The sequence below is a fragment of the Homo sapiens genome, chromosome 10, assembly GCF_000001405.40.
Source record: "Homo sapiens chromosome 10, GRCh38.p14 Primary Assembly".
NCBI lineage: Eukaryota > Metazoa > Chordata > Mammalia > Primates > Hominidae > Homo > Homo sapiens.
In genome coordinates, this window is record NC_000010.11 from 75,232,172 (window position 1) to 75,255,826 (window position 23,655).

The following is a 23,655-nucleotide window of genomic DNA, read 5'->3' on the forward strand; positions in this document are numbered from 1 at the left end:
AGAAGAAGCTGGTGAGAGACCAGAGCTCAAGCAAGCTCTCCACACAGGAGGGTTGGGGGCATGAAGACCCCTCTGGTCCCACTATTCCTAGGGGACTGGCTTGAATGGCCCATGTGAATCATGGTTCTCTGGAAGGCCCTCTCCAGACAGACATGACTTAAGTGACAGAGGGTTAGAATTTGAGCCAGCTTGAGTCAGGTAAGAGGAGAAACATGAAAAGATGTCCATGCAGGCTAGGCCTGAAAGCAACTCCAGCAGTGTGAAGTAGACCCGCAGGCAACTAACCACTGCTGGTGGTCCTTCAAAGAGAAAAACCCTAGTCATGGGGACTGCTGCCCCTTAGCTAATGGGTGGCCCTTTATTGGGCAGTGGCTACAGTAATTTGGACTGAGGTGTGGCACGAGTGAGTTAACTGTTTTGTCAAGGATTTCCTTAGAGTAAATTGAACCTATTCACCCACATGCATCCTAATATGCTTTTATGAGTTAGAAAAGGGTAGGTTTCCAGCCGTGGTCTTGCGTAGTGTCCAAAATGCAAAGTTTGTCCCAGGAGCTGTGAGCTCGTGTGGCTTTTTTTTTTTTTTTTTTTTGAGACGGAGTCTCACTTCGTTGCTCAGGCTGGAGTGCAGTGGTGCGGTCTCGGCTCACTGCAACCTCCGTCTCCCGGGTTCAAGCAATTCTGCCTCAGCCTCCCGAGTAGCTGGGATTACAAGCGTGTATCACCACACCTGTCTAATTTCTGTATTTTTAGTAGCGACCGGATTTCACCATGTTGACCAGGCTGGTCTCGAACTCCTGACCTCAAATGATCCACCTGCCTCAGCCTCCCAAAGTGCTGGGATTACAGGCGTGAGCCACTGTGCCCAGCCTCATGTGGCTCTTTTAGCTCTGCTTCCATCAGTCTCCAGGGACACTTCCCACCACCGAGGCTTACCAGGTAGTGGCAAAAGCTGCTTGAATTCCAGGCTAATGCCACTTATGCCTGAGGCAGTGTCAGTGGAAAGAATTTGACCATCTGCCAGTGGAGATAAGATCTGTGAGGTTGGGGAGATTTAAATAAGCAGAGCACCTGGGTCGAAGGTGCTCCATGAGGCCTGGTTCCTTCTCCACCTCCCCTCATAGGCAGATGGTTCAGGAAAGCCTGAAGTTCTCTTCATCCTCTAGGGAGTGTAGTAACAACTGCTGTACCTATAGGCTTGTCTGCTTCACGCCTCCCTGGCCAGTGATCCCCCTCACTTAAGAATTTCAAGGAGACGGCAGGATACTCAAGTCAACCCCACGGCAGGATACTCAAGTCAACCCCGAGGTCCTCAGGTCCAGGCCAACTGGCCTGGCTCTTAGAGGTGATGTTCCCCCACCAGGGCCTCCACTGGAGAGGTGAGGCTGGGGAGCTGACTGTGCTGTGAAGACATGAGCAAGCCGCCAGCAGAACTGGCATCACCTACAAAAGCACACAAGTGACACCCGTGGTCCCCTGCAATCCTCTTTCATGTTGTCAGACACCAGACGTGGCTCTCTACCAGTCCCAGCTGCTCAGAACCAGAGCTTCGCCTGCCCTGAGGGAGAGATGTAGGAGGCAGACAAGCCCGAGGTGCTGGGGTCTCTGGCCATTACACGTGGCCAGGCCAGTTAAAACTTTATAACCTGCCTCCTGCCAGCTGGAGGTTCCTGCAGTTGGGCCACAGACCTGGCGCCAGGGAGGGGACGAATCTCAAGGCCCCTTTCACTGAAGGCAGGAGCTGTCTGTGCTGGGCCTTCCCTCCCTTCCCCATCCAGCGCCACACACGGAGGCTCAGGAGGTCGTGTGTCCCAGCCCCACTTTATTTTCGAATTTAAAACTCAGGGTCAATTCCTGGGGTTCCCAGGCAACCCTCCCTCGAGCCCACTCACTAGGGGCCAGCCCTAGATCTTGAAGGCCAAGGTGAGTCCATCGCCCAGGGGCAGGAGGCTGATGTAGACCCTGACGTCCCGCCGGATGCGTTCGTTTAGGTTTCGCACACACTCGGCCGCCACGTCCCCTTTCGGAGGTTGCAGCACCTTCCCGCGCCACAGGACCTGCGGGAGGGCGGGGCCAACCGGGCCGTGGGAGGCGGGGCTTCGGAGGGAGGTGCTCGGGCGGAAGGCGGGGGACTGGGAGGGAGGTGCCCGGGCGGGAGGCGGGGTCTTGGAGGGAGGTGCCCAGACGGAAGGCGGGGTCTCGGAGGGAGGTGTCTGGGCGGGAGGCGGGGCCTCGGAGGGAGGTGCCCGGGCAGGAGGTGACCAGAGCTGGAGACAGAACCAAAGCGGAGGAAAGCCTGGGTACCGGGGCCGGAGCCCCGGAGGGGGTGTAGCCTACGTGACTGGACTGGGTGGGGCTTTGGGGTATAAGAGGAGTCAAGGGAAAAGATGGGGACCCGGCCCGACAGGGTGCTTTCTCCTCCCCCGCAGTGGATCCCTTACTCTGAGGACGGCGAGGATGCCTCCGGGTCGCAGCAGCTGCAGGCAGCGCTCGTAGTAGGCGGAGCAGTTCTCCTTGTCCGCATCCACCACGGCCACGTCGAAGGTGCCGGCCTCGCCCGCCGCCAGCAGCTCGTCTTGCGGGGGGAGGGAGGGCAGGTGCGGCTGAGTCCGCGGCCCCGGCGGCCCTGAGGCCCCTCCCAGGCCGGCCCGGGCTCTGTGACAACCGGCCCTGCCCTTAACCTGCCCGGCAGGCCCAGTCACAGCTCGGCCACACAGCAGCCTCGTTTGCAATGAATGGCTTCAAAGCCCTTCCCGCTTCGGTGCTCACCCAGGGTCTCCAAGGCGGGCTTCAGCCGGAGGTCGATCTTGTGCTCCGCCTCGGCCTGCGGAGGGAGCGGGTCAGCCGTTGCGCCCCCGCCTGGGGCTGCAGAGCTAGGCGCGGGCGCTCACCTGCCTCCACAGGGGCCGTCCCAGCTCCGGGGGCTGCGCGTCCACCTCGCAGGTCACCACGCGCCCGTCCGCGGGCAGCGCCAGGGCCAGGGCCAGGGCGGAGTAGCCCGTGAAGGTGCCTGGGACCAGGACACAGACGGGCTCAGCCCAGAGTGGGGGTCGGCCCGGAAACCTCGGCCCTCCGGGATCCCGGCCGCGTGCCCCTACCCAGGTCCAGCGCCTTCTTGGCCTGGATGAGCCGCGCCAGGTTGGCCAAGAGCTGGGCCTGCTCGCAGGTCATCATAGAATCCCCCTGCGGCTGCTCCAGGGTCAGCTGCGTGAAAGGAGAGGGTGGCACCAGCCATGCAGGTCACCCACCTTCGCCCTGGGGGTCCCAAGCCCCAGGGGCGCGGTTCTGGGCGTGGCCTGGGGGACTGGCCCTTCGGAACGCCCACCGCACCCGGCCCAGGGAAGCCGGAAGCCCAGGGAGGGCCAGGGCCCAGCCCAAGGTCACACAGCCACGTGGGACCCGCAGGGGTCGAGAGGGACGCCCGTTTCCGTCCCGCGCCCTGCTGACCAGCCTCAGGCTTCGCAGCGCCGGGTGCTCCCGCATGGAGCGGCTCAGAAGATACTGCCACAGGCGGCTGTCCTCGGGGGGAAGCAGGCACTGCTCTCGCCGGCCTCGCCATGGGGGGCACCGCCTCCCTGACGGGGAGAGGGTGTTGGATTAACCTGAGCCACGCCGCGCCCTACTCTGCGCCCGCCCACCCGCCCGCCGGGACCAGGTCCTGCTCACCCAGGAAGAGGCCAGTGGCGAAGGCGGCGCCCAGTGCGGCTGAGCCCAGGGCCAGCGCGGCGGGCACGGAGAGCCGGGGCACCGGCTGGGTCATGGCGCGGGCAGGAGGCGGCGGGAGGCAGTGACAGGTCACGTGAGCTGGAGCTCCTGGGACAGGTCTCGGACTCGCGGGCCCGCCGGGCTCCACCTTGTCGGGGCACTACCCGCGGAGCCGCGGTCTCGGGCATCATCTGGCGGCCACACAGCCTTACTGCAAGCCCCGCCCGAGAGAGCCGGGCGCGATCTGGTGGCCGCGCCGGGAACTGCGCCCCTGCGGGGAGCAGGCCAAGCGCCTAGATCTGAATTTTCCCGCCTGTGCCCGCAGTCCAGGTGCCTGCCTCCATTCCCCTCCTGCCAATGCTTTTTTCTCCTCGCCACCATTTATTCTGAGGCCCCTTGGGGGCATATGTGAATTGTGTATGGAGGGCGCCAGTGTAAGTTACAAGATAGTCACAAGTACAAGAGATAGAGATTAAAGGGGGAAGGCCTCCTGGACAAGATGCCCCAAAGCATCAGGCTGAAGGAGTGAGGGAACTGGTTTGAGGGCATGCAGCCTCGAATTGGGGTTCAGGAGCCCTGGGGTGGGCCTGTGGAACTGAGACCATATTCTTAGCTGTTAAAATCCTGCTTTTGGGGGCCAGATGGATACGAGTGTCTAATCTTGGTCCTGCCAGTCTCTCTGAGCCTCAGTTTCCTTCCTGTAAAATGAGGCCTACAATCTTACCATAAAAGGCACCAGATCCCACAGCTTCGCACACAGTAGCACAATACATAAGTGGCAGCTGCTGTTATGTTGGTAGGTTGGAATGAAGACATCTTGGGGAGAAAGCCGGTGAAGCTCCCTTGCAAGGTTGTTCTGTTGAAACACTGTCCAGAGAACACTGATTGAACCCCTACCATGCGCCAAACTCCGGAGGAGGTGAAAGACGCTGACGCTGTCCTTTTTTTTTTTTTTTTTGAGACTGAGTCTCGCTCTGTCACCCAGGCTGGAGTGCAGTGGCACAATCTGGTCTCACTGCAACCTCCACCTCCTGATTCAAGCGATTCTCCTGCCTCAGACTCTGGAGTAGCTGGGACTACAGGCACGCACCCCTACACCCAACTAATTTTTGTATTTTTTGTAGAGACGGGTTTTGCTATTTTGGCCAGGCTGGTGTCAGACTCCTGGCCTCAAGTGATCTGTTTGCCTCGTCCTTCCAAAGTGCTGGGATTACAGGCCTGAGCCATTGTGCCTGGCGTTGGTGTTCTTTTTTTTTTTTTTGGCAAGGTCTCTGGCAAGGCTGAAGTGCAGTGGCAAGATTACTGCTTATTGCAGCATCGAGCTCCCAGGCTCAGCAATCCTCTTGCCTCAGCCTCCCAAGTAGCTGGGACCACAGGCGGTCACCACTGTGCCCAGCTAATTTAAAAAAAAAAATTTTTTTTTTAAAGAGAAGGGGTCTTACTATGTTGTCCAGGCTGGTCTCGAACTCCTGGCTTTAAGTGATCCTCCTGCCTCAGCCTCCCAAAGTGCTGGGATTACAGGTGTGAGCCCCCGTGCCTGGCCTCTGGTTGGTATTCTTAGTGAAGCTGGTTTCAGAGATGCAGGTCACACACAGCTGGCGGGTGGCCTAAGCTTCACGACTTCTGCCTCTGTGAAATGGCGTTATGAATAGTCCCAACCTCCTAGGGGACCAAATGAGAAAATCCAGGCTGAGGACTTACACAGGGGACCAAATGAGAAAATCCTGGCACTTAGTGAGCTGTCATGTTACCTTTAAAAGGAGTCAAAGTCCGAAGGGCAGCCGGTTATCTTCCTGCTGCACTGCAGATGTCCCCTGGGGTGGAGGCTGTAAGAGCCTTTTTTTTTTTTTTTTTTTTTTTTTGAGATGGAGTCTTGCTCTGTCGTCCAGGCTGGAGCCCAGTGGCGCGATCTCAGCTCACTGCAACCTCCGCCTCCCAGGTTCAAGCGATTCTCCTGCCTCAGCCTCCTGAGTAGCTGGGACTACAAGCGCCAGCCACCATGCCTGGCTAATTTTTGTACTTTTAGTAGAGACGGGGTTTCACCATATTGGCCAGGCTGTTCTCGAACTCCTGACCATGTGATCCGCCCGCCTCGGCCTCCCAAAGTGCTGGGATTACAGGCGTGAGCCACCGCACCCGGCCAAGAATCCATTTTAACAACGCTGACTAGGCATTGAGCTCCACTGGGGGGCTTCCCAGGCGGGGGCTCAACCTGAGCGAGGCCCAGAGGCCAGCTTGTTGAGTAGTTAATGAGAGAGTGGCTTGGCTGAGGATGAAGGCCAGAAACTTGCAGTTTCTTGATCTGAGCTGCAGGAACCTTGGGCCTAGCGGAAGCGAGGAAGGAGGAGGCGGAGCTCTGGGGTGAGGCTACGGGCCGGCCTCTAATCAGAGACAGGGTGGGGCTGGTTCTTTGACCAACCAGCCGGCAGCCCCCGAAGCACATGGCTGTGTGGGGGCAGAACCTGCTGTCTCCGTGCATGCGTGCCCTTTCGGCCCTCCTGGGACTTGCCTCCGGGCTAGCAGCACTGCTCGAGGACAAGCTCCTTGCCCTTTACTCTTTGACCCTCTACGTCCCGCTTGGCCTCTAACTTGACCGTGAATCTCATTCTGCGGGTAAGGACTGAGGCTGCTGGTCTCTCCTTCCCAGGCCTGAGCATACAGCAGGCGCTAAATAAATGCTCTTGACTAGAGTTCTGGCGCTGCCTGGCGCTCCTTGCTGCCAGGAGTAAAAATAGTAACAGCAGGGCCCCTTTATTGAGGACCTGCCGGGCACCAGGCACAATGCATCCAGGATCCGGGGGCGGCTGTGATCTTGTTCCCATTTTCCAGAGCAGGAAAGCTCAGAGACCACCGCCCAGACCCTGCAGCCAACAGAGGAAACGCGCGTACCTCTCCCTTGAACCCTGGGACCCAGAGGGAACAGGCCTTCTTGGCTCCTCTGCTGGGACGAGGGCCCAGCTCGAGCTGGCCTGAGGGCCCTGCGCTCAGGTGGTGCCGCTGACCGCTCTCTCCCTTCAGCCCGGGGGTCCAGGTTGCAGCAGGCCCCCAGCTCACACTGAAACTCCCTCCTACAGCCTGGCTTTAGGCCGGAGCGGTGGAGGTTGAGGGGGAGCGGGTGGGGAGGGGAGGCATGTCACCATCTATCCCCGTCAGATTAAAAAACTAATTTGAAAAGATTAATGTATTCCATTCTTGTTACGCTGGCTCTGATACCTCTGGGCCGGCGGCCGCTCTGCTTCCTGATTATTGAATTTTTATGGCCTGGTAATTAATTGCAGATTCCCTGTTTTGTTCTATTTCTTTTTCTCTGACATTTTAATTTCAACAAAAAGCAGTGGTCTCCATGCAGGTTCTCTCTGGAGATCCTAATGGTCTATAAAACAGAATGACTTATAGACGTGGCACCCACTTCAGTTGGCGAGCGATTGTTTGAAACCTTGCTGATGACGCAGAATTTAATTTTTCCACCCCCTCCCCTTTTTGCTACTCATTTCTTGTCTCTTGCATGGCGGCACCAGTATCTCAGCTCACCAGGAAGGGAGCAAAGTGTCGCCTCCGAATCTGTTCTAGGGCTTTTTCCTAGAAGCCTGGGGGCTGAAGACAGAGTGGGTTTTGATTCTTCTCCAGGCAGTGGGCCTGGTAGAGGGTGGGGGGAGCTGAGCCTCCCCAAAGGGCCTTGTGGATGTGGGCAGCAGCCCCCAGGGGAGGGAATGGGCAGGGGAGGTCATTTCCACCTGTCTCAGGTGCGTTTTGGCCAAATGCCATTGCCCCATTAAGCACCAAGGAACCTGAAGCCTCATCAGGGCAGAGAAAATGGGCATCAGCACCTGCACTTAGGCCCCCACCAGGCAGAGAGGGGGCAGGCTGAGTAGACTGATACAGACAGACGCAGATAGCCTGACAGTCTTAGCTGAACTGGGTCACTGGGAACAGCTCTCCACACAAACAGGTCTGGAACAGACCCCTGAGTTTCCATCCTACTGGTCCCACTCCTATTTCTCATAGCCCTGCTAGCATCACACAGGCTGGGCGCTGTCGCCCGAGATCCCCCGGGACTGAGCAGGGCAGGAGGCAGAAGGTAAGGTCGTAGAATCAATCCTAAGGGATTGGAGTTCAGATGTTTTTTGGGGCCAGGCAGGTGAAGTAAGCAGGGCAAGGTGATAGGGGGTGGTGGGTACTGGAGCACTCCAGAGCTCACCCTCCACCAGGGGACATGGTGGCCACTTGGCTTTAGCCTTGGATGCCAAGTGGGAAGATGGGCCCAGTATGGCCAGAGCTTCCGATTCCCCAACAGAGGTTGGCAATATGGCTTTCAGTGTGAAACTTCACAATTTTAAACATCGGGGTGTGTGTGTGTATGTGTTTAAACACTGTTGGCCAAACTGAACACATATTTGAGCTTCATGTCTGCTCTGGCTCATGAGGCACCAGTTTCCTCTGACTCTGAGCATGAATGAGAGAAGTTAGGGCTTGAAGTGGAGTCCCCTAGAGTGAGAAGGGCCTCAGTGGCCAGCAGACCACCGCCGATGTCTGGGTGAGGTCTACTGGGCTCCCCAAGGAGGACAGTACCTTTTACCTAAGACGTCGGGAGGCAGGGCTGTAACTCCAGGGGCTTTAGGACGGTTCAGGCCAAGTGCACTGACACAGGTAGACACAGACAGATGGCGACTTGGGGGCTCCTGGGGCTCCTCACATGAGCTGGGAGCATGACGGGGCCACAACCTGGTCCCACCTCCTCTGTGCTGAGATCCTGGGGAGCTGACCCTGGCAGCGCCCCTAGTGACTCACTTTCCTCATCTGGAGAGGCTGAATGGGAAAGCTACAGCATGGGCTTTAGAACAGATGGACTTGGGTTCAAACATCTGCCCCACCACTCACTTTGCAGCTGAGTAAGCTCAGAGTTTCTGAGAAACTCTAGAAAACTAGGAAATGGGCATGAACCTTCTGTCTTCGTTTTCCATTGCTGTACAGCAAACTGCCACAAAGTTAGTAGTTTAAAACAACACCCACTTGTTATCTCGCAGAGCGTAGGTCAGAAGTCTGACAAGGCCGGGTTGGATTCTCTGCTCAGGGTCTCACCAGGTTCAAGACAAAGTTCTCCCCTGGGGCTGTGGGGCCTCTGCCAAGCTCACCAGTTGTTGGCAAAATTCAGTTCCTTCTCTTGAAACCTTTCCATCTTCAAGGCCAGCAGAGGCACCTGGCATCTTTCTGGTGCTCCCAATTGCTGTCTTCCTCTTTTGCTTTTTTTTTTTTTTTGAGATGGAGTTGCGCTCTGTTGCCCAGGCTGGAGTGCAGTGGTGTGATCTTGGCTCACTGCAAGCTCTGCCTCCCGGGTTCACACCTTATCCTGCCTCAGCCTCCTGAGTAGCTGGGACTACCGGCGCCTGCCACCACGCCCAGCTAATTTTTTTGTATTTTTAGTAGAGACGGGGTTTCACCGTGTTAGCCAGGATGGTCTTGATCTCCTGACCTCGTCATCTGCCTGCCTCGGCCTCCCAAAGTGATGGGATTACAGGCGTGAGCCACCGCGCCCGGCCTTTTTTTTTTTTTTTTGAGACTGTGTCTCTGTCACCCAGGCTGGAGTGCAGTGGCACAATCTCAGCTCACTGCGACCTCTGCCTCCCAGGTTCCAGTGATTCTCCTGCTTCAGCCTCCTGAGTAGCTGGGATTACAGGCATGCGCCGCCATGCCCAGCTAACTTTTTATTATTAGTAGGGATGGGGCTTCACCATATTGGCCAGGCTGGTCTCGAACTCCTGACTTCAGGTGATCCACCCACCTTGGCCTCCAAAAGTGATAGCATTACAGGCGTGAGCCACGGCACCTGGCCCCTCTTTTGCTTTTAAGGGCTCCTGTGATTACATTGGGCCCACTCAGATAATCCAGGATAATCTCCCTATTTTAAGAGAGCTGCCTAGTAAACTTGGTTATATCTTTGAAGTCCCATACCTGTAACCCCAGCACTTTGGGAGGCCAAGGTGGGAGGATCACTTGAGGCCAGGAGTTAGTGTCTAGCCTGGGCAGCATAGTGAGACCCCTTCTCTACAAAACAATTTTAAAAAAAATAGCCAGGTTTAGTGGTGCATACTTGTAGTCCCAACTACTCAAGAGGGTGAGGTGGGAGGATTGCTTGAGCCTGGGAAGTGAAGTGGGAGGATTGTTTGAGCCTGGGAGGTCGAGGCTGCAGTGAGCTGTGGCTACACCACTACACTCAAGCCTGGGTGACAGAGCGAGACCCTGTCTCAAAAAACAAAAAACAGGCCAGGTGCAGTGGCTCATGCCTGTAATCCCAGCACGTTGGGAGGCTAAAGCACATGGATCACTTGTGCTCAGAAGTTCGAGACCAGCCTGGGCAACATGGCGAAACCTGTCTCTACTAAAAATACAAAAATTAGCCAATCGTGGTGGTGCACGCCTGTAATCCCAGTTACTCGGGATGCTGAGGCATCAGAATTGCTTGGACCCAGGAGGCAGAGGTTGCAGTGAGCCGAAATGGTGCCACTGCACTCCTCCCTGGGCGACAGAGTGAGACAATGTCTCAAACAAAACAAAATAACCAAACAACACAAACAAGGGAGTGACATTGGTGGCAGAGATTATGGGGTCAAAATACTGCCTGCCCCAGCCTCTAACTGCTTGGGATGATTGGAAGGGTGAAAATGCACCACCTCCATCCCGTCCCCCATCCTTGAGAAGTGCTGGTATTAGACATTTAAATACATGGTCCTTGCTCCTGCATAATGCACTGGGTGGTGGGACTGTTCCTCTCAGCAACTCTCTAAGGGAGCTAGCATGGTCTCCATCTTCCAGATGTGCACACCAAGATCCCAGCCATCAAGGAACATAGGTGGCAGAGCCAATATGTGAAACTGTCTCTGTCTCAGCTTCACATAAAGGCTTGTCATCTCACCATGGGCCCAAGTCCAGGGCTCCTGAATCCTTTGGAAATTTAGTCCTTCTGGGAGGCATCCACCATGTACCAGCAATGTACATGTGATGCAGCTTCTCTGGTTCAATTCTGTCCTGGCACGTAGGTGTTAATAGGAGTCCCCAGTGGATGGCTTACATGTGTGTGTTTTCTGGTTGTGCTGTTTTTTTCCTTTCTTACCTGGAGGTGGCCAGGGCTGCATATCACGGCCACTCTTGGGTATCGTTGCTTCTGCCGGACACCTCAGCTGATTCTCAGGCACCTTCCAGTGGTGGAGACTTCATGGGGCTCTTTGAAAATTAACAAAGAAAGTCTTACAGCTCTGTTTTTGTTTGTTTGTTTGTTTGTTTGTTTGTTTTTTTCCCAGATGGAGTCTCCCTCTGTTGCCCAGGGTGGAGTGCAAAGGTACCATCTCTGCTCACTGCAACCTCTGCCTTCTGGGTTCAGGCGAATTCTCTTGCCTCAGCCTTCCGAGTAGCTGGGATTACAGGTGCCTGCTACCACGCCCGGCTAATTTTTGTATTTTTAGTAGAGATGGGGTTTCACCATGTTGGCCAGGCTGGCCTTGAACTCCTGACCTCAAGTGATCCTCCTGCCTTGACCTCCCAAAGTGCTGGAATTACCGGCATGAGCCACCATGCTCGGCCCCCTTGCAGCACTTATCTCTCCACATTGAGACACGGGACTACATTGTGAGTCCCTCCTTCCCCCAAAAGAAGATAAACACACTTTGCAGACTCCCCTGCAGGCACATGACCTAGCTTCCACCGATCAGATGCACAAGACTTGGAAGCAAGTAAACGTGGGCAAGGTGAGCTAGCTGGGCGTGGAGGAGAGTGATCTCCCGGCAAGCAGGTATGACGCGGTGCAGGTGCCTGTTTCCACTGGGGTGGCTGTGGTGGAGCCTCTACCAAGAGGCAGGCTGTGGCGGTAGCTGTGTTGTAGTTAGGACAGTCCTGTGGTGAGATTGGGTGGGGCTCCCCGGCTGTATTGTTCCTGGTAGTGGATCATCCAAGCCTGCTTCTCTGGTCTTCCCAGAGTCTGCTGTTTGTAACAAAGTGAACTTGCTGTTTGTAACAAAGTGAATTCTGTTGTTTGCAACAAAGTAGAATCTGTCCTTTACCACTGAGTGGCTTCTGTGGCTTATAATTAAAAGCCCTGCCCGGTCCACTCCCATTGATAGAACTCACTGGAGTCCTGGACCTCCAGCCCACACTGTTACTGTTCAGCTCGGAGCCATTCCTCCTCCTGCCTTGCCAACATGGGCCTGATATTGTTTAAGCAGCAACATGTGCAACTCTGTGGGGGAACTATGATCAGTCTCAGGCTGCCATAACCATCCTAGTCCTTTTCCCAGGATACTACTTTCTTACCCACATAGTTGCTAGGGGTGACTGTGTGGTTCGTTCCTGGCCACAGATAAAGGGGGGCTTCTCAGGACATTTTTCTTTCTGATAATAAGAAATCCTCTTTTCCTGCTTAGTCTCTTCTTACCTTGAATGGAGTTGTATAAAGATGAAATGCTTGCAGCCATAGCAGCCATTTTGTGGCCATGAGGCAACAAAGTTAAGGATTAACAACAAACAAACAAAAAACACCAGTGAGGATGGCAAGAGGAAATACGGTTTATTGGTTCTCAAAGACATTGTCAAGCCCTTGAACCAACATCAGCAGCATCTACCTCCACACTCTGTTCTAGGAGAAAATGGAGCCCTTTGTGTTTAAGGAATGATTAACTGTATACATATCCTTTTAGTTAAGGCTCAGAGCTGTCCTAACTTATTCCAGTCCCCAGGCAGTGTGGCTCATGCCCACAGGGATGGTTTAGAGTTGGTGCTGGATAACCCTGTTTGCTTTTTCTTCAGGCTAGAGTGGCAGATTCCACAATGAACTTTGGAATCGTGCCCTGCATGAGTGAGGCCTCCATTTCCTCAGGAGTGAGTTTGCCCAGTCCCCTTGCAGACAGATTTATGGCAAGCCAGTCCCTCCCCTCCCTGAGAAACCCAATTGCCAGCCCTGGGCAGCCCACCCTCACCCTATGGCAGGCCCGTGGGGTCTCATGGCCCCTCTGGATCTCCCTGTGGGTGAGATGAGATCCCCACATTCTGCAGGTGAGGCCCTGGCGGAGAAGTGACTTATCCAAAGTCCCACGGGCAGGGTGTAGGGGCTGGCTCCAGTTTTGTAGGATCCAAGCTTGGGGGTCCCACTCCAGTAGGAGTCTCTCTATTTGCCCCAGGGCCAGGGTCACAGGGACTTCTGGGACAGTGGATGACCAGGTGGAGTGGGCGCTTCCGGGCAGCAAGCTGAAGCGGGCTTGAGGAAGCCTGTGTTCTCCTGGGCCTGAGAAACAGGTTTCTGTTGCAACAGTGCTGTAACAGCCCTGGACCTCAGTGGCTTCCAAAATAATCATTTACTTTCTCTCTCCTGGTTCAGGAGTCAGCTGGCATGGTTTTGCTTCAAGTTGTGGGTCCAGATCATTTGGGAAGCAGCAGAGACCTGGGGATGCTCTTGCCTGGTGGGCAGCACAAGCACGAGAGGTGCACCACACAGGTGCGTTGAAAGCCCCTGCCCGTGCCAAGTCTGCTGAAGTTCCATTGGCCAAAGCCACTCACTTGGCCAAGCCTGTAGTATCAGGGTAAGTGAGTGTGTTCTACCCGCTCTGTGGGGTGGCCCTGCAAGGCCACCTGTGTAATCCTATTACAGGTGGATGAGTGAAAGGTCAGGATGAACAATCCAATCTAACAGGTCCCACATGCTCCACAGTGACCCCAAAGCCACAGTAACACTCTAACCCCACCTACACCACTGGGCAGGATCTCCTCAGGGCAGGGGGGCGGGGGTGCTGCCTCACGCAGGAGCTGCCTTCAGGTCTGGCTGGCCCCAGGGCCTCTGCAGATCCATTCTTGCTCAATTCCTAAGAGTTCAGGGTTTCCCATCTTGCCTCCCATCAGCTCTGGGAAGCCAAAGACTCCGTCTGTTTCTCAGAGGAAGAACTTGAAGTTCAGGGAGCCAGGGTGTGGCTGAAGATTGCAGGGCAGACTCCCTGCCTCTGCCCAACCCCCACTGCCATCCTGAGCCCAGCAGGGAGGTGCTGAGTGGTCAGGCTCGCCTCCCTGAGCACCTGCCTCCCAGGAGGGACACACTCCCAGCCACTTGCCCCTTTCCTCCATGCCACCCCCACGCTCAGCCTATGCCCTCCCTGCAGAAATGCAGGGAAATGCAGCCGTGGACTGCAGGGTGCAGCCTGCCCTGCTCGGGGGACCTCTCAGCTCTTGTTTGCATTTGGCAGCCCCTGAGCTGGCCTGGGGACAGATTTTTATTTGCCTTGCTCAGGGTTTTATTTGTTTCAATGGAGCCAACACTAAACAGTCAGATTTCACAAAGAATTCAGATTTAATTTCTATTCCTTTTGAAACAGTGAAAGATTTGCCTACATGGGGCCCACTTAGCTGCGGAGCAGGTCTGCTGGGGCTGCCTGGTGCCCCACCCCCCACCCCCCACCTCAGATGGGTTAAGGACCCCTGCCCCAGCCCCCACCACTCCCTGCTGCCTCACACCCAAACAACTTCACTCATTTTCTATATTGGTCTTTATGCTGCTGGCATATGAGCTGTGACCTCTGATTTAATCCAGTTCCCAGAGGCCCAGAGAGGGGAGACTCCTGTCTGGGGTCTATGGCCAGTCAGGAGACCTTATTTCTCTTTCTCTCTTCCCAAGAACTTCATCTGGATCCCTCCTGTGGACTCCAACCCAGAGGCCCAGTCTCTGCTTCCTGCCCCCAGTGGCTCAGGCTAGGGGCTTTCTCTCCAGGCAAAGCTGTTTGTGTCCTGGCTTAATAAAGCTCCCTGGCATTGCTGCCCCAGGGGTACACTCACCCGAGGAAAAAGTCCAGACTGACAAGAGGCTCTGGGAGACATGGGGGGCAGGGGGGCTCATATCTCTGAGCTATACAGCGAAGCCCTGCAGATGTTTAATATTGGATCGTTGGCTGGGCATGGTGGCTCACACCTGTAATCCAAGTACATTGGGAGGCCGAGGCGGGTGAATCACCTGAGGTCAGGAGTTCAAGACCATCCTGGCCAACATGGTGAAACACCGTCTCTACTAAAAATACAAAAATTAGCTAGGTGTGGTGGTGGTGCACACCTGCAGTCCCAGCTACCCAGGAGGCTGAGGCAGGAGAATCACTTGAACCCAGAAGGCACAGGTTGCAGTGAGTCGAGATCAAGCTACTGCAACCCAGCCTGGGTGACAGAGTGAGACTCTGTAGCAAGAAAAAAATAAAAATAAAAATAAAATAAATGAAATAAAATGGTATCATAACAGCCGACACATATATTACACTTCCTGTGTACCAGCCACTTCTTATGAAGCCTTATTCCCCATGGGACGAGGCTTCATATTAACCCACTTACTCCTCAAGTCAGCCCTGTAAGGGGGGAGGTACCACTTTTATCCCTGTCTTACAGAGGAGAAAGCTGAAGCATAGAGAGGCTAAGCCACTTGCCCCAAGTTGCACAGCTTATAAGTGGTAGAGCAGGGATTTGAAGCCAGGTCCTCTGGTTTCAGGGCCCACAGTTCCTAACCACTGAACTATCCTGGAGGACATGCCATCCTCATCATGTGACTTCTCCTCATTGAGTAAGATAGCTGTTTGAGCTCTGGCCTTACACCTCACTCCAGTTTTCAGGGAAAAGGCAAGGGACAGCACAGGACTCACCCCTTCCTTTAAGGATCCTTGCTGAATGTTTCACAGGGAGCTCCTGCTTGCCTCCCTTTGACTGGCATTTAGTCACACAGCAACACCTCAGCCAAGAAAAGGTCTTTATTCCAGTGATTATGAGCTCAATGAAAAAATCAGCTCTACTCTTACAGGGGAGAATGGAGATGGAAACTTTAGCATCATTGCTGCATTTCACGGATGAAGAAACTAAGGCTCAGAGGGGTGCATGACCTGCTGGAGGTCACGCAGCCAGGAAGAAGTGGAGCCTAGATCTTCTGTCCCTGGGCTTTTAGGAGCCAGTGGGGCCCCAAAGGCACACCCTGCTGATTTCCTGGGGGTGAGAAGGACTGGGCTTTGGTGCACAACCCCCTCCCCTGCCCCAGGAACACCTGGGGCCCAGGCCCTGCCAGCCAAAGCCTCCTGTGCCTTCCAGCCCTGGCAGCCTCTCTGGGCCCAGATCCGTCACACTGGCACCCATCCTGCCCCGGGCCTGGCCTGACTCCATCCAGTCTGCTCACACCAGCATTGACTGTGCTTGGGCAGGTTACTGAAGCAGCCTCAAGAGCACTGAATAATTCAGGCCCACGTAATGGGATAATGAATTTACCGACAGCCTGGTGTGGTCTCTGTACTTACATTTTGAGAAATACTGACTCCGTAGGCCCACTGGCAGGCAAGGGAGGTACACACCCCGAGAAACTGTTGCGTCTGCCTATTCGTGGGGTTCAGGCCTGACAGAGTGGGGACCCAACTTCGGTCTCAGTGGTTCTTCCCCTGCTTGGGGAAGTGGGGAGTCTGGGGCAGGGGGAGGCCTGAGTGGAACTTTGGGGAGAGGTGGAAGCAGAATCCCAGGAGTTCAGAAAGGCAGAGCTTGAAGGGAGCCTGGCTGCCCTTGGTCCTGCACGCCCATTTCATGAACAGGGAAACTGAGGTGGCAGGCGGGACTGCCTATGCCCCTGGACACTGTTCTGTGCTGACAATACCAGGGATGACTCGTGGCTCTGGGGAAGAGACCTGTGTATTTTCCTTCTAGTCTGCAGTTACCTGTCCCCCAGCTGCTGGGGGGAAGGGGGTGTCACTGCTAATGCCCCACAGCTGCCCCTTCACTGGAGATGTGTCCTTAGCCAAACGAGAGCCACCGCCACGTGGAAGGCCACGCTCTGCCTGCCAAAACCTGGGCACACTGTGGCTGACTTCCATGGTGGTACAAGAGCGGGAGTAACTGTGTGACGCTCTCTATGCTCCAGAATCCCCGGGGAATAAGGCTACTGTGGGACTCCAGCTGAGACCACATTCCAGCTTCGCCTTCACCCCCTTCCCTACCCTACTTCTCTCACTCCCCTTCTCCTCCAAACCTCCACAGCAGATCATTTGAATGGAGTTCGGTCTCAGAGTCTGCTTCTGGGAGTCCACCTAAGACCCCATATTTCCTGGCCCAAGCCTCCCTTCTGAGCACCGCCCCAGAGCACCAACAGGGCTCAGAGCCAGGACTCCTTGGCCCTGGCCCTGGCTCCACTACATGACTGTGAGGAAATCACTGGTCTGCCCTGGGCCTCAGTTTCCCCATCTGTGTGATTGGTTGGCAGGAGGATCTTTCAGGGTCCCTTCCAGCTCTGAAGTTCTGTGACGTGACCTGAGGTGCCAGGAAGCCTTCTCCCTCCCCCGCCTAGCCCCACAGGCACATGGAATTCTGCCACTGGGGCATCACTTTTTCCTCGAAGGAGTTTTCACAATGCAAAAGCATCTGAGATGAGAATGAGCATCCAATCAGGTGATCACACCACAGGGCAGAATTTCTCAGTGTGGGGTTCTTGGATCACCTGCAATGAGTTCTTCACCTGAAGGGGTGTTTATTATTATTATTAATTTCCCTCTTCTGTCTCTCTTTTTCTTTTTGAGACACAGCTGTCTCCCAGGCTGGAGTGCAGTGATGCAATCTTGGCTCACTGCAACCTCCACCTCCCAGGTTCAAGCAATCCTCCCACCTCAGCCTCCTGAGTAGCTGGAACTACAGGCCTGCAACACCATGCCCAGCTGATTTTTGTATTTTTAGTAGAGACGGGGTTTCACCATGTTGGCCAGGCTGGTCTCGAACTCCTGACCTCAAGCGATCTGCCCACCTTGGCCTCCCAAAGTGCTAGGATTACAGGCGTGACCCACTGCGCCCAGCCTTCCTCTCCTTTTCTTGGATGTGATACCTTGGGCTGGCTGCAGCAGCTAGCTTTCAACCATGAGGAAAGAGCATGGCATGCAAACAACAAGCTAAGAATAGTGAAGCAGAAACATAAAAAGAAGCTGGGTTTTCGCTGGCATTTCTGAATCATTGCACCAAGCTTGAAGACCCTTACTTCCTATATGAAATAATTAAATATCTATATTGCTCAAGCAAGTCTTGGTTGACTCTTCTGCTATTTGCAGCCCAAAGCATTCCAAATGGAATCAACTGTCCTTATCACACTGAATTGTAATAGCAACCCTCTAGGGAGGGGATTATTATTGGCTCAGAGAAATGAAGTGACATAGTTAATGTCAGCTGGCAAGTGGCAGTGCCTCTTTGGGCAGGAGCTTTTAGGTTGGGATGATTTGATTATTGGTAAGAATTTAATTTCTGTCTCCTTCATTGCATCTGTCCTATCATAGTCTGACCATGGGGCATAACCTCCTCCCTTGCCATTCTGGTCTTTGGCCTTCTCTCTTTCTCTATCCATCCCACTCTGGGTCTCAGACTAAAGACCCAGGAAAAGCCATTGTGGAGTAGAGGGGAGGCAGCAAGTCACCATGGTGCATTCCTCGATGGACTTTCCCTAATGAGTGTGGCCAGATTCTGGTACCAATGACTGTGGAGAAACCCAAACCCAACTCAGAGATAATTCTGGCCTCTAAACAGCCCCTCTTTCGGGGAGGTGTTATAGCAAAAGAAAGAAAGAGCTCAGGGACACAAAAACAGACAGACAGAGGAAAGGAGGGAAAAACAGCAGGAGAAAGAGTAGAGAAGGAGGAGGGTGAGAAGATGGGAGAAGAGAGGATCTCAGGTTAGAGTTTGACAGGCCTGACATTGAATCTCAGTCCAGACACTGACGAGTAGGTGACCTAGTAGGGTAGGGAGATTCGAAGAGGTCCTTCAGAAGGCAGAGAATTTGAGAGCCACAGTGGGGTGAGCAGGGGGAGAGTAACTGCTCCAGACCCTGCAACTGATTCCCCAAACCCTGGGTGGTTGTTGTGTGTGTAGGGAGCCCTCTCTGAGGGCTGCCCCAGATTCATGGGGAAGGCAGGGGCAGGAATGGCCTTAGACTAGGGAAAAAAAGGAGGGCCTGTGTCCTTTTTCTAGCCCAGGTGTCGGATACACTCATGAAGGCACAGAAAGCACCTGAGCTTCGCCTCCACCGCCTTTGGGCAGTGGCCAGAGAGGAGCCTAGGGATGACCTTTGGCCTGGGCAGTGGGCAGAGAGGAGCCTGGGGTTGGCCTTTGGCTTGGGTAGCAGGTAGAGAGGATCCCAGTGATGACTTTTGGCTTGGGCAATAACTGGGGAGGGGCTGGATCATATGCCTTCAGGGCCTGGCATACAGCCAGTGCCCTCAGCTGAAGTACTGAGCCTGGGGCTGGTGGGTGAGGAAAGGAAGGAGCAGTTTTCCAGCATTAGTCAGGAGGCGCAGGGCTGGGGGTAGAAGGGGAGTGGCTCCTCTCTCTGGAACTTGCCCTGCTCACCTGTCTAATGCCTCATGCCTATGACTTCAGGCTGGCAGACATTGCTGTTTCCACAGAGCTTTCCCCAATCCCTCGGGCCAGATGTCTCCTTACGGAGCTGTTGTGGGGGTTTAAAGCATGTCAGGGAATTCGGCCCAGCATGGTGGCTCACATCTGTAATCCCAGCACCTTGGGAGGCCAAGGAGGGGTGGGCGTGGATCACGAGGTCAGGAGTTCGAGACCAACCTGGCTAACATGGTGAAACCCTGTCTCTACTAAAAATACAAAAATTAGCTGGGTGTGGTGGCATGTGCCTGTAATCCCAGATACTCGGGAGGCTGAGGCAGGAGAATTCCTTAAACCAGGGAGGCAGAGATTGCAGTGAACAGAGATCATGCCACTGCATTATAGCCTAGGTGACAGAGCAAGACTTCGTCTCAGGAAAACAAACAAACAACACAAACAAACAAAAAACAGAATTTTTAGACACTTATCTCATGAGGAGATGGAGTCTACGTCCCTTACCTTGAACTAATCTGATCAGACAAGAAAGGCCTCTACGACAGCCTTTTTGAACAGAATGTAGTGGAAGTGATGCCGTGTGACTTCCGGGGCTGGGTTAGAAAAGGTCACATCGCATCTCCCAGATTCTCTTGAGCCCTTGATCTGAGAGCCATCAGGTGTCCTGTAAGAAGTCCATCTCCCCTGTGGAGGCCTCCATGTGTAGAGACCACACAAAGTAAGAGGCAGACAGGGGCCCCAATTCATTCAGCCCCTGCTGTTTGAGTCTTTCTAGCCCAGGTGTCAGACACACTCATGAAGAAGCCCTTGAGATGACACAGTCCCAGCCCCAGCCACTCTGGAGCTGTCTGCCATGTGTGAGGTCCAGAGTGAGAACTGCCTAGTTGTGTCCAGGTAACCTCCAAATTCATGAGCAGAATAAAATGATAGGGTATTAGTTTTCAAGGCCTTCCTAGGTAAAACACAAATTGGGTAAAACAACATAAATTAATTTTATCACAGTTCCAGAGGCCAGATCTGAAGTCAAGGTGTTGGTGGGGTTGGCTCCTTCTGAGGGTTCTGAGGGTAATTTGTAATTCTTTTTTTGGGTTTTGTTTTTGTTTTTGGAGATAGAGTCTCACTCTGTTGCCCAGGCTGGAGTGCAGTGGTGTGATCTTGGCTCACTGCAACCTCTGCCTCCTGGGTTCAAGCGGTTCTCCTATCTCAGCCTCCTGAGTAGCTGAGACTACAGGTGCACACCACCCTGCTTGGCTAATTTTTGTATTTTTAGTAGAGATGGGGTTTCACCATGTTGGCCAGGCTGGTCTTGAACTCTTGACTTCAGGTGGTCTGCCCGCCTTGGCCTCCCAAAGTGCTGAGATTACAAGCATGAGGCACTGCACCTGGCCTCTGAGGGTAATTCTGTTCCAGGCCCTTCTCTCACCTTCTGGTGGTAGGTAATGCTTGGCATCCCTTGGCTTGTAGCTGTATCACTCCAACCTTTGCCTCCATCTTCACTTGTGTTCTCTGTGTGTCTTTGTGTACAAATTTCCCTCCTCTTATAAGTATACAAGTCATATTGGATTCCCTAATCCAATATGCCTCACCCTATCCCAGTATGCCTAATCTTAACTCATTACATCTACAATGATTGTATTTCCACATAAGTTCACATTCTGAAGTACTGGGAGTTAGGACTTCAGCATATCTTTTGGGGGGACACAATTCAATCCAGAACAGACAGTTATCATTTGAAGCCACTGTTTTGGAGTGCTTTGTTATGCAGCAGTAGTTACCCAGAACACTGGAAGTAAGGGATGGCTGGGGCAGCAACTAAAATACCAGTGTAAATGTAGTGAGATGAAAAAAATTTACCAGAACATCCTCTGGGAGGCTACTGTACGTGGCTGGAATAATTTATTTTCTGAGTAGTTTGGGGTTGAGGTGGGGCACCAGATCTTCCCCCTAAAAAGTGTATGTTTCAATAGCAACATGTAGTTGAATAATAACAGACAGCTTCCCTAATGCCTTCTAAAGTAGGAAAAGAACCTGGGTTTTGCTTTGTGGGATAGTCCTTTCTCTTAAATAAATGTTGAATTTTTATAGAAAGAGAACCAATTTGAATATTAGAGTGTTTCTGGCCTCTACATATCTCAGAATGGTGTTGTTTACTAATGCTTACTCCATCAGAACACTGATTAACTGTGAGGTGCAGTTGCCTGGTTAAGTGTTGGGCTTCCCCATAGACTGTAAATGACCCTGTGGGGAGGGACAGGCTCAGTCTTGCTCCCCACTAAATTCTCAGAAGTTCTTGGCACAAAGTAGGTGGTTCATAGTTATTTGCTGAAAGCATGAACATTGGAAAAGGAACAAATTGGATTTAAATCTATATGATGACTAAAGACACACAAATCTATTAGCTGCAAAACATCTAACAATGCTAGAAAAATTACTTTTGAAATCCCTTCAGTTAATGGAAGAGCCTTTAAGAAGGTAAGGGAATTACCAGAGGCCAGAAATGAACTGGAAACATCAGTCCAGGAAGTAAGTGATTGTGAAACTGCTGCACACCCTGAGGACATCTACCTCACTGGGCCGCCTGAAACCTCCACAGCTTCTGAGGCACAAGAAAGAAGCAAGAGGTCTTAAAAATTACCAGGAAGATTTAAAAAAGAACCAAACAGAGCTTCTAGAAATTTAAATATATCAGGTATGAAATTAAAAACTCAATGACACAGTTAAATAATTGAATAGACACAGCTGGAGGTGGAATTTGTAAACTGGAAGATAGATCTGAAAAAATTACACATAATACAGCATAGAAAAATGGAAAGTATGAAACAGGTTAAGAGGCATAAAGGATGGAATAAAAAATATTTAATATACATCTAAGCAGAGTTTTGAAAATTATAAGTAAAAAGGGAGAGAGGCAATATTCAAAGAGACAGTACCTGAGAGTTTTCCATGATTATTAAAAAACATGAATCCTCAGATTCAGGAATTCCAATGATCTCAAACAGGATAAACAGAAAGAAATCCATACATACTTCATAGATACATCATATCTATAGATACATCATAGTCAAAGTGAAGAATACCAAAGACAAGAAGATCTTAAAAGAACCAAAAAAATAAGTTTTTTTTTGTTCACAACTTTTTTTTTTTTTTTTTTTTAGAAAGGGTCTCACTCTATTGTCCAAACTGGAGTGCAGTAGTATGATCTCAGCTCACTGCAACCTCTGTATCCTGGGCTCCATTGATCCTCCAGCCTCAACCCCCCAAGTAGCTGGGACTATAGGCACATACCACTGTGCTTGGCTAATTTTTGTATTTTTTCTAGAGGTGGGGTTTTGCCATGTTGCCCCTGGACTCAAGCGACCTGCCGATCTTGGCCTCCTAAAGTGCTGGGGTTACAGATGTGAGTCACTGTGCCCGGCCACACAACTTCTATAATTAGAAGAAATTAGACTAATGGCTGATTAGTAATAACAGCATCAATATTAGCAATGAAAGACAGAATATTAATTTCAATAGGCTTTTAAAAAGTCACAAAACTAAGGACTATACACCCCAGTGAAGAACTACACACCCCAGTGAAACTATCTTTTTGGAGTAAGTGTGGATCCTAGGTGTATACTCAAGAGAATTAAAAACATATATCCACATAAAAACTTGGACTTAACATGTTCATAGCAGCATATTCATAATAGCCAAAAAATGGGCCTGGTGTGGTGACTCACACCTATAATCTCAGCACTTAGGGAGTGTGTTAGTCTGTTTTTATGCTGCGGATAAAGACATACTTGAGACTGGGTTATTTATTTATTTATTTATTTATTTATTATTTTTTATTTTTTTGAGTCTTGCTCTGTTGCCCAGGCTGGAGCGCAGTGGTGCCATCTCACTTACTGCAACCTCTGGCTCCTGGGTTCAAGCAATTCTCCTGCCTCAGCCTCCCAAGTAGCTGGGATTATAGGCATCCGCCACCATACCTGGTTAATTTTTTTGTATTTTCAGTAGAGACGGAGTTTTGCCATGTTGGCCAGGCTGGTCTCAAACTCCTGACCTCAGGTGATCCACCCGCCTTGGCCTCCCAAAGTACTGGGATTACAGGCATGAGCCACTGTGCCTGGCAAGACTTGCTAATCTATAAAGGAAAGAAGTTTAATCGACTGACAGTTCCACATGGCTGGGAGGCCTCACAATCATAGTGGAGGGCAAAAGGCATATCTTATATGGTGGCAGACAAAGAGGGAAATGAGAGCCAAGTGCAAGGGGTTTCCCTTATAAAACCATCAGAATGGCTGGATGTGGTGGCTCACGCCTGTAATCCCGACACTTTGGAAAGCCGAGGTGGGTGGATCACCTGAGGTCAGGAGTTCGAGACCGGCCTGGCCAATATGGTGAAATCCCATCTCTACTAAAAATACAAAAATTAGCCAGGCGTGGTGGTGTGTGCCTGTAGTCTCAGCTACTTGGAAGGCTGAGACAGGAGAATTGCTTGTACCTGGGAGGCAGAAGTTGTAATGAGCTGAGATCACATCACTGCACTCCAGCCTGGGTGACAGAGCGAGACCCTGTCTCAAAACAAAACAAAACAAAAACCTATCAGATCAC

At 52.6% G+C, this 23,655-nt stretch overlaps 1 protein-coding gene across 1 annotated transcript, besides 7 other annotated features; it reads right to left on the minus strand.

Annotated features, from left to right (window-relative positions):
- Window positions 1-1,469: 1,469 nt before the first annotated feature.
- On the minus strand, window positions 1,470-3,786 carry COMTD1 (catechol-O-methyltransferase domain containing 1). Its single transcript, NM_144589.4, has 7 exons — window positions 3,664-3,786; window positions 3,445-3,572; window positions 3,096-3,201; window positions 2,889-3,007; window positions 2,767-2,821; window positions 2,439-2,572; window positions 1,470-2,054 (listed from the first exon to the last, which is right to left on the minus strand). Exons 1-7 carry the CDS (start codon window positions 3,755-3,757, stop codon window positions 1,902-1,904), a joined length of 789 nt encoding a protein of 262 aa, NP_653190.2. The 5' UTR covers window positions 3,758-3,786; the 3' UTR covers window positions 1,470-1,901.
- Window positions 1,735-1,884: an enhancer, noted in NCBI's record as "active region_3608". NCBI's record gives its function as "activates an Ori minimal core promoter by ATAC-STARR-seq in GM12878 lymphoblastoid cells {active_cell/tissue: GM12878}" and the evidence as "EXISTENCE:reporter gene assay evidence [ECO:0000049][PMID:35858748]".
- Window positions 2,015-2,194: a silencer, noted in NCBI's record as "silent region_2509". NCBI's record gives its function as "represses an Ori minimal core promoter by ATAC-STARR-seq in GM12878 lymphoblastoid cells {active_cell/tissue: GM12878}" and the evidence as "EXISTENCE:reporter gene assay evidence [ECO:0000049][PMID:35858748]".
- Window positions 2,515-2,744: a silencer, noted in NCBI's record as "silent region_2510". NCBI's record gives its function as "represses an Ori minimal core promoter by ATAC-STARR-seq in GM12878 lymphoblastoid cells {active_cell/tissue: GM12878}" and the evidence as "EXISTENCE:reporter gene assay evidence [ECO:0000049][PMID:35858748]".
- Window positions 2,905-3,194: a silencer, noted in NCBI's record as "silent region_2511". NCBI's record gives its function as "represses an Ori minimal core promoter by ATAC-STARR-seq in GM12878 lymphoblastoid cells {active_cell/tissue: GM12878}" and the evidence as "EXISTENCE:reporter gene assay evidence [ECO:0000049][PMID:35858748]".
- Window positions 3,325-3,404: a silencer, noted in NCBI's record as "silent region_2512". NCBI's record gives its function as "represses an Ori minimal core promoter by ATAC-STARR-seq in GM12878 lymphoblastoid cells {active_cell/tissue: GM12878}" and the evidence as "EXISTENCE:reporter gene assay evidence [ECO:0000049][PMID:35858748]".
- Window positions 3,565-3,704: a silencer, noted in NCBI's record as "silent region_2513". NCBI's record gives its function as "represses an Ori minimal core promoter by ATAC-STARR-seq in GM12878 lymphoblastoid cells {active_cell/tissue: GM12878}" and the evidence as "EXISTENCE:reporter gene assay evidence [ECO:0000049][PMID:35858748]".
- Window positions 3,740-4,034: a silencer, noted in NCBI's record as "tiled region #13796; K562 Repressive DNase unmatched - State 1:Tss". NCBI's record gives its function as "represses a minimal TATA promoter and a strong SV40 promoter by Sharpr-MPRA in K562 cells {active_cell/tissue: K562}" and the evidence as "EXISTENCE:reporter gene assay evidence [ECO:0000049][PMID:27701403]".